Raw genomic sequence first — 9,680 nt, 5'->3', positions numbered from 1 at the left:
AAAAAACTGCACAGAAAGAAACAACGTGAATAGACAACCTACAGAATGGAAGGAAATATTTGAAAACTAGTCATCCAAAAAGGGATTAATAACCAGAATATATAAGGATTTTAAATAACTCAATAGCAATAAAAAACAAATATTTCTATATAAAATAGGCAAAAGATTTCAATAGACATTTGTAAAAAGAAAACACAAATTGTCAACAGATACATGAAGAAATGCTCAACATCACTTATAATCAAATCAAATGAAATCAATTTGATTTGACATGCAAATCAAAACCACCATAAGATATCACCTCACCCTAGTTAAATGGCTTTTATCAAAAACAAAATAAATGCTGCCAAGAATGTGGAGAAAGAAAATGCTTATACACTGTTGAAAACGTAAATTAGTACAGTCACTATGGAAAATACTATGAAGCTTCCTCAAAATACTGAAAATAGAACTACTATACTATCCAACAATATTACTGGTGGGTGTATATTTGAAAGAAAGGAAATCAGCATACCGAAGAGATACCTGCACCACTATGTTAATTGTAGCACTATTCATAATAGCTAAGATATAGAATCAACCTGTGTGTTCCATCAGTGGATGAATGAAGAAAGAAAAGGCAGTATATATACACAATGGGATATTATTCAGCCTTAAAAAGAAAAATTGTTCTGGCTTGGTGGCTCTTTCCTGTAATCTCAATATTTTGGGAGGCTGAGATGGGAGCATCACTTGACCCCAGGAGCTCAGGACCAACTTGGGCAACACAGTGAGATCCTGTGTCTACAAAAAGTTAATTATTAGTCGGGCATGGTGGCATGTTCCAGTAGTCCTAGCTATTTGGGAGGCTTAAGTGGGAGAATTGTTTGAGCCTAGGAGGTCGAAGCTGCAGTGAGCCATGATTAACTCACTTCACCCTAGCCTGTGTGACAACAGTGAGATCTGGTCTTGGGAAAAAAAAAAAAACACACACACAAAACAAAAAAACTGTTATTTGCAGCAATAGGGATGAGCCTCGATGACGCTAAGTTAAGTGAAATAAGCCAGGCACGGAAAGACAAATATTGCATGTTCTCACTCATGTGGGTGCTAACACAACTGATTTCATGGAGGCACTGAATAGAACGGTGGTTACCAGAAGCTAGGAGTAGTAGTGGGGGGGGTTGAATGAAGACAGGTCAGTTAATGGGTAGAAAAGAACAATTAAAAGGAATAATTTCTAGTGTTTCATAGCACAACAAGGTGAAATAGTTAACAATAATTTATTGTATATTTTTAAATAACTATAAGAGAAGATTTGGAATATTCCCAGCACAAAGAAATAAATGTTTTGGGTGGTGGATATCCTAATCACCCAAATTTGATTATAACATATTGTATGCTTATATCAAAAGTATTCATAAGAATTAAACATTAAAAAGTAAAATGAAATTTTAAAAACATGGATGAAATTTTAAAATGTAATGAATGTAGCTAGAAATTATATATGTAATTTCATTCCTATGATATTTTAGAAAAGGCAAAAATATCTGTAATTATACAAGGTAAAACAGTGTTTGTGCCTGGGAATGGGGGAAGTGACTGCAAAGGAAATTTTTGGAGTTATGGCTTGCTTTTACTTCTTGATTGTGATAGTGCTTACATTTTCGTATTGTAAGAAAAAATGTAACTCTACTTATGATAGATGCTTTTTTTGTGAGTTTTATTTTAATTAGCTTTGTGTTGAAATATAAAAGTCTTTTAGAAGGCATCAAAGAGCTACACAGGTACTGGTGAATCGTGAGGCCAACCTTTACAAATAAATGAAGCCCAAAGAAGTGAGCCTATCATTGATGCAGCTTTTTTCTCAACTTGTGGCAATGCCAGTTTTGAAAGCAGATGCTAAGAGGATGCAAAACCATGCACCACTTTCAGAAGACTCATGGTAGAATTACAAATGTTGAAATGATTGGGAAGGAGATGAGACTTTGGCAAACAAGCCCAACTTTCAGCTGGGACTCCTAACAAGTGTAAGGCTGAAGTGGTTGTATATTATTTCTTCATAGAGTATGAATTCCAACTTCAGATATTATTTCTTGAATAAATCAATGTACTCCTGGATTTCTAGTTTCTGTAGCCCATCTGCCTAACAGAAGCATGAGTAAATTATCTCTGGTGGAAGATAAAGTCATCTAGAGTTGATCTATACGTTTTTGCATTTCATCTGATAATAAAATATCTGGCAACCACTTGAGTATATGGGAAAACAAGACTTACCCAAAGAACCATTTTATACCCCCAAGGAAACCCAAATAATGGAATTAATAAACATGGATGTTAAAATGAAATAACAAGATTGACAAATACGTTTTGCAGAGAACTGGAGGTCGTACAAACGATCAAATGGATATTCTAGAAATAAAATTTGGCAATTAAAATTAAGAAACTAGTGTATCCATTTGAAAACACATTAGACATAGAGGAAAGAGTAGTAGTAAAGTGAAAGATTTGTTGGGGAAAATATTTAGGTGGAGTTGCAGAGAGACAAAAAAATGATTTTAAATGAAGCATTATAAGAGATGCATTGGATATAATGAGAAATATTTTATTTCTCATTATAATATTTGAAGAATATTTAATTGAATATAAAATTTGAAGAAGTGGAGTGAAGAAGGATGGTGGAGACAGAATAGGGTAAAACAGTACTTAAAGAAATACTGGCTAAAGAATGATACAAGACCAAAGAAAGAAATCCCAAAATTCAAAAAAATGTTATAAAGTAATGTCAATGAAAGTCAACCATACTGAGTTACAGCATACTAAAATTACTAAAAATCAATGTCAAGGAGAAATTCTTTAAAATAATGGAAGAAGAGATACATTATCATTAAGAGAGGAAAATAAGACTCAAAAGTGATTTCCTAACGGAAATAGCAGAAAGTAGAAGGTAATGAAGGTAGTGATTCATTCAGAGACCTAAAAGAAGATATTGCCAACTTAAATCTGTAAGTCAAATATATAGGAAGACATTTTTGGGTCTAAAAATTGCAAGGGAGAGGCAGGTCATCATGGCGGACAGGAGGTAGGACTAGATTGCAGCTCTGACTCGGATGGACAGAACAGTGTGCAGAGGCTCACATTGTGAATTTTAGTGCCAGATTGACTGCAAGAATGAACCAGCAATCCTGAGAGGACCCACAGAACCTCTGAAGGAAGCAGACTGCTCCTGCAAGACCCACAAGACACTCCAGATCTTGTGAGTGCCCCAACTGTGGAAGTGGGAAAGGGAGAGTCTCCTCTTCTGAACACACACCCCCACTGGAGAAACTGAAGGTCTGTTTGCAGAAGGTTTCCTACCTTAACCTGGGGGTGAGTCAACTTAGCTGAACAAAATACAGGGGTAGAGGAAGCAGCAGAAAGGCCCTGGGAGCTTGCCAGGTTCCCAAGCAGGCCAGTCCTACCTGGCACCACAGGAATCCATCAGGAGGGTGGCCAGAGGAGTGGGGCGAGGTGGGGAGATAAGCACCATAGGGAGAAGGCAGTTTCCAGCTGAACTTTGTAATAATTTGAATGGATTGAGAAGTTTCCTGGCCAGAACTCGGGGGAAGGGTGTGAATCCAGTGTGCAGACTCCACAGGCAGGGGAAGAACCAAGCCCTTTCGCAACTGGGAGGCAGGTAGCCTGGAGCAAGTTCTCAAGCCTGGCTTGCCTACCACCTGGTAACAGACTCGGGGCTGTTAGGGGGTGCATGGTGGGAGTGAGATCGGCACTTTGGTTTGCATGGAAGCTGGGTGAGGCCTGTGACTGCTGGCCTTCCCCCACTTCCCTGACAACCTGGATGACTCAGCAGAAGCAGCCATAATTCTAGGAAACAACTCCATTGACCTGGGAACCTCACTCCCATCCCCCACAGCAGCTGCAACAAGACCCACCCAAGGAGAGTCTGAGCTCAGACACACCTAGCCCTGCCCCCACTTGATGGTCCTTCCCTGCTTACCCTGGTAGCTGGAGACAAAGGTCATATAACCTTGGGAGTTCTAGGGCCCCACCCACCATGGGTTCCTCTCCATACTACCACAGCTGATGCTGTCTGGAAAGCACCACCTCCTGGCAGGAGGCCAACCAGCACAAAAAGAGCATTAGACCACCAAGCTAAGAACCTTCATGGAGTCCATTGCACTCCCTGCCACCTCCACCAGAACAGGCATTGGTATCCATGGCTGAGCGATCCATAGATAGTTCATATCACAGGACTCTGTGCGGAGAACCCCCAGTACCAGCCCAGAGCTGGGTAGACTTGCTGGGTGGCTAGACCCAGAAAAGAGACAATCACCGTACTGCTCACAGGAAGCCACATCCATAGGAAAAGGGGAAGAGTGCTACATCAAGGGAACATGCTGTGGGACAAAAGAATCTGAACAACAGCCTTCAGTCCTGGGCCTTCTCTCTGACAGCCTACCCAAATGAGAAGGAATCAGAAAACCAACAAGCCTCTTTAACACCCACCCCCAAAATCACGCTAGTTCACCAGCAATTGATCCAAACCAAGAAGAAATCCACGATTTACCTGAAAAAGAATTCAGGAGATTATTAAGCTGATCAGGCACCAAAGAAAGGTGAAGCCCAATGCAAGGAAGTCTAAAAAAATGATATAAGAAATGAATGGAGAAATATTCCAGGAAATAGCTTAAAGAATAATAAAAAATTCAGGAAACATTGGACACACTTATAGAAATGCAAAATGCTCTGGAAAGTCTCAGCAATACAATTGAACAAGTAGAAGAAATAAATTCAGAGCTTGAAGACAAGGTCTTCGAATTAACCCAATTCAACAAAGACAAAGAAAGAAGAAAAAGAAATTATGAACAAAGCCTCCAAAAAGTCTGGGATTATGTTAAATAAGCAAACCTAAGAATAATCAGTGTTCCTTAGGAAGAAGAGAATTCTATAAGCTTGGAAAACATATTTGGGGGAATAATTGAGGAAACCATCCTTGACCTTGCTGGAGATCTAGACATTTAAATATAAGAATCACAAAGAACACCTGGGAAAATCACCACCGAGGCACATTGTCATCAGATTATCCAAAGTTAAGATGAAGGAAAGAATCTTAAGAGCTGTGAGACAGATGCACCAGGTAATTTATAAAGGAAAACCTATCAGATTAACAGCAGTTTTCTAAGCAGAAACCCTACAAGCAAGAAGGGATTGGAGCTCTACCTTCAGCCTCCTCAAACAAAACAATTATCAGCCAACAATTTTATATCCAGCGAAACTAAGCATTATATAAGACAGAAAGATACAGTCTTTTTCATACAATCAAATGCTGAGAGAACTCACCACTACAAAGCCACCACTACAAGAACTGCTAAAAGGAGCTCTAAATCTTGAAACAAATCCTGGAAACTCATCAAAGCAGAAACACCTCTTTAAAGCGTAAATCACATGGGACCTATAAAACAAAAATATGAGTTAAAAAGCAAAAACAAGCAACAAAAAAACCAAAGTACCCAGGCAACAAATAGCACAATGAATGCAATGGTACCTCACATCTCAATACTAACATTGAATGTAAATGGCCTAAATGCTCCACTTAAAAGGTACAGAACTGCAGAATGGCTAAGAACTCACCAACCAACCATCTGCTGCCTTCAGGAGACTTACCTAACACATAGGACTCACATAAAGTAAAGGGATGAAAAAAGTATTTCATGCAAAAGGACACCAAAAGTGAGCAGGGGTAGCTATTCTTCTATTAGACAAAACAAACTTTAAAGCAACAGCAGTTAAGAGAGACAAAGAGGGACATTATATAATGGTAAAAGACCTTGTCCAACAGAAAACACCACAATCTTAAACATATATGCACCTAACAGTGGAACTCCCCAATTTATAAAACAATTAATAATAGGAACACTGACAGCACTAGACAGGTCATCAAGACAGAAAGTCAATAAAGAAACAATGGATTTAAACTATACCTTGGAACAAATGGACTAAACAGATATATACAGAACATTTCATCCAACAACCATGGAATACACATTCTATTCAACAGCACATGGAACTTTCTTCAAGATAGACGATATGGTAGATCATAAAACGAGCCTCAATAAATTTAAGACAGTTTAAATTATATCAAGCACTCTCTCAGACCACAGTGAAATAAAACTGGAAATCAACTCCAAAAGGAATCTTCAAAACCATGCAAATACATGGAAATTAAATAACCTGCTCCTGAATGAGCATTGGGTGAAAAACAAAATCAAGATGGAAATTTAAAAATTCTTCAAACTTAACAACAATAATGACACAATCTATCAAAACCTCTGGGATGCAGCAAAGGTGGTGCTAAGAGGAAAGTTCATAGCCCTAAACAGTGACATCAAAAAGACTGAAAGGAGTACTCAGACACAGGTATGCAGTGTAAGAGCAGCTAGGGGACTGCCTGGCTCAAGTGGTCAAAATGCAGCCCTGAGAAGCTAGCGCTGTTTGCTTTTATTCAGTGCAGGCACAATGCCAAAAACCTGAAGCCAACACAACCTGCAGGTAATTAACATTTATTGTTCCCCTTTCAGGAAATGTCACACACAGGTCATTTCCTGGTCAATATAAGTAAACAAGCTTGATCAGGATAAGTTCCCCTACACTCCATTGTACCTACTCCTTGCCCTCTGCCTCAGGGTCAGAAAACAGCTGCCTTCAGCTATTATCCCCCAAAGCTATGCAGAGCCTTCTGACCTTTCAGAAGGCCTGCTCCTTTTTCTATAGTTTCTCCCACCACTCTATACTAAATTTCACTTTACCAAAAATATTGAAGTTAGAGAAAAAAGTTAAATGACCATGAGATAACAGAAAAATTCTTAATTTGGTATATTAAGCAAAACAACTGGCACTGTTTCTTAAAAATGTCGATGTCATAGATCATAAACTTACATTTCTGAGTATAATCTTTTAGACCATGGGAGCCCAATGCTCCCACATCAACAACTTAAAAAATAAAAATTTCAAAAATTATGTTTTTAAATAAATTGGAAAGTTGTCAAGACAATGGATTTTGAAACAATTGGAATTCCAGAAAGAGAGTGACCTTGTAATTGCCATTTTGTACCCTGTGGGTTATTCACTGATTCTGGTCATGAACTGATCATAAGGTTTGTCTCACACAAAGGGACTCTATTGAGTAGATGGGACATAAGCAAAACTTTTAACATCGCTTGCCTGAGATGGAACAACAGATTGGAAAAGTGAGCTGCTTTACATAGATTCAATATTAGTTAATGATATGTCAAGTGGACAAAAAAGTACAGAATATTTGAACAACTTGTTTCATAAATGCAATACAATTCATACTTGAAAACACTATTTTTTTCTCCATGTCCTTTGTCATTTCAAGAATGTAATATAAGTAGAATCATAACCTTCCCCAGTGGTGGAGGTGGGGCCTTGTGGGAAGTGTTGGGCCATGGGGGAAGATCCCTTGTGCACGGATTTGTGCCATTGTTGTGGTAGTGGAGGATCTTATTGTTAAAAAGAGCCTGGCACCATTTCTTCACCCTGTCACTCCCTCTCTTGCCCTGTAAAATGTGTGTTTTTCCATCACCATCTACTGTTAGTGGAAGCTTTTTGAGGTCCTGACAGGAAGCAGTTGCTGGTGCTGCACTTGTATAGCCTGCAGAACTGTGAGCCAAATATACCTCTTTATAAATTACCCAGTCTCATGTGTTTCTTCCTGGCAGTCCAAAATGGACTTATGTGGAAAATTGGTCCCAAAGCATGGGACATTATTATAAAGATACCTGAAAATGTGGAAACTGCTTTGGATCTGGGTAATGGACAGAGGTTGGAAGAGTTTGGAGGGCTCAGAAGAAGACAGGAAAACGACAGAAAGTCTAGAATTTCTTAGAGACTGGTTAAATGTAACTACAATGCTAATAGAAATATGCAAAGTGAAGGCCATGCTGATGAGGTCTCAGATGGAAATTAAGAACTTACTGGGAACTGAAATGAAGGTCACCCTTGTTACCCATTAGCCAAGAACTTGGCTGCATTATGTCCATGCTGTAGTAATTTGTGGAAGGTTGAACTTAAGCGTGATGACAAAGGGTAACTGGCAGAAAAAATGTCTAAGCAGTGAAGCATGCAAGAAGTAGTGTGGCTGCTTCTAACAGCCTATGATCAGATCTGGGAGTGAAGGAATGACTTAAAGTTGGAACTTAGAATTGAAAGGGAAGCAGAGCATAAAAGTTTGGAAAGTTTCCAGTCTGTGTGTTAGAGAAGGAAAGAGTATTTTCAGAATGTAAGTGGCTGCAGAGGAAGATCTCACTAGAGAGATTTGCATGACTAAAAGGGACCCACATTCTAACATTCAAGACAGTGGGAAAAAGGCCTTGAAGTCATTTCAGAAGTCTTTCAGGCAGCTCCTCCCATCACAGGCCCAGAGGCCTATGAAAAAAGAATGGTTTCAGGGGCCAGGCCTAGCACCCTGCTGCCCTGCACAGCCTCAGGGCACTGCTCCTTGAATCCAGGCCACTCCAGCTCCAGTGATAGCTATACGGCCCCAGATACAGCTTGGGCTGCTGCATCAGAGGGCACACATTTTATGCTTTGGCAGCTTCCATGTGGTGGTATCTGCAGGGGTGCAGAATGCAAGCATGCACAAGAGTGGTGGAGTCTTGGCAGCTTCCACCTAGATTTCAGAGGATGTATCGGAAAGTCTGGATGCCCAGGCAGAAGCCTGCTGCAAGAGAGCCTCTGCTGTGTCTCTACACAGCTTCTCTGTGTGGGGGCTCCAATTCCACATTTCCATTTCCCCAAGGAGTCAGCACACAGAGTACCCACCAGGGCACTGCCTAGTGAAGCTGTGGGAAGAGGATCACTGCCCTTTAGACCTGAGAATGATCCAGCACCGGCAGCTTGCATCCTGAGCCTGGAAAAGCTAAAGGCACTCAACTCCAACCCTGTGGTGACAGCAGCTACAAGGGCTGCACCCTGTAAAGCCACAGGGGCAGAGCTGCCCAAGGCTTTGGGAACTCACACCTTGCACCAGAGTGCTCTGGATGTGGGACATAGAGTCAAGGATTTTATTAGAGCTTTAAGGTTTAGTGTCTGCCCTGCTGGGTTTGGGACTTCTGTGGGGCCTATTGCTAGTTTTATTTGGCCAATTTCTCTCTTTTGGAATGGGAATGTTTACCCAATGCCTGTAGCACCATTGTATCTTGGAAGTAAATAACTGAAATAACTGGTTTTTGACTTTACAGACTCATAGGTGGAAGCAACTTGCCTTGAGTCTCAGATAAGACTGGACTTTGGACTTTGGAGTTGATGCTGGGATGAGTTAAAACTAGGGGACTATTGAGAATAGTCCCCCAGTGTGAATTTGCAGTGTGAAAAGGGCATGAGATTTGGGGAGGCCAGGGGTGGAATGATACAGTTTGGATGTTTGTCCCTTCCAAATCTCATGCTGAAATTTAATCACCATTGTTGGAGGTGGGCGCTAGTGGGAGATGTTTTGGTCATGGGGGTGGATCCCTCATGAATGCCTTGGTTCCATCCTTGTGGTAATCTGTGAGTTCTCACTCCATTAGTTACCACAAGATCTGATTGTTAAAAAGAGTATTGCCCGGTAGGGCATGGTTGCTCACACCTGTAATCCCAGCACTTTGGGAGGCCAAGGCAAGCAGATCGTGAGGTCAGGAGAT

At 40.4% G+C, this 9,680-nt stretch overlaps 1 annotated feature.

Annotated features, from left to right (window-relative positions):
* Positions 3,301-4,500: an enhancer, noted in NCBI's record as "MED14-independent group 3 enhancer chr1:111644109-111645308 (GRCh37/hg19 assembly coordinates)". NCBI's record gives its function as "activates an origin of replication core promoter dependent on BRD2, BRD4, P300/CBP and CDK7 cofactors, and independent of MED14, by STARR-seq in HCT116 cells {active_cell/tissue: HCT116}" and the evidence as "EXISTENCE:reporter gene assay evidence [ECO:0000049][PMID:35650434]".

Source organism: Homo sapiens, chromosome 1 (genome assembly GCF_000001405.40).
Source record: "Homo sapiens chromosome 1, GRCh38.p14 Primary Assembly".
In the NCBI taxonomy this organism is placed as follows: Eukaryota; Metazoa; Chordata; class Mammalia; order Primates; family Hominidae; genus Homo; species Homo sapiens.
This window is presented reverse-complemented; position numbering and strand designations above follow the sequence as displayed.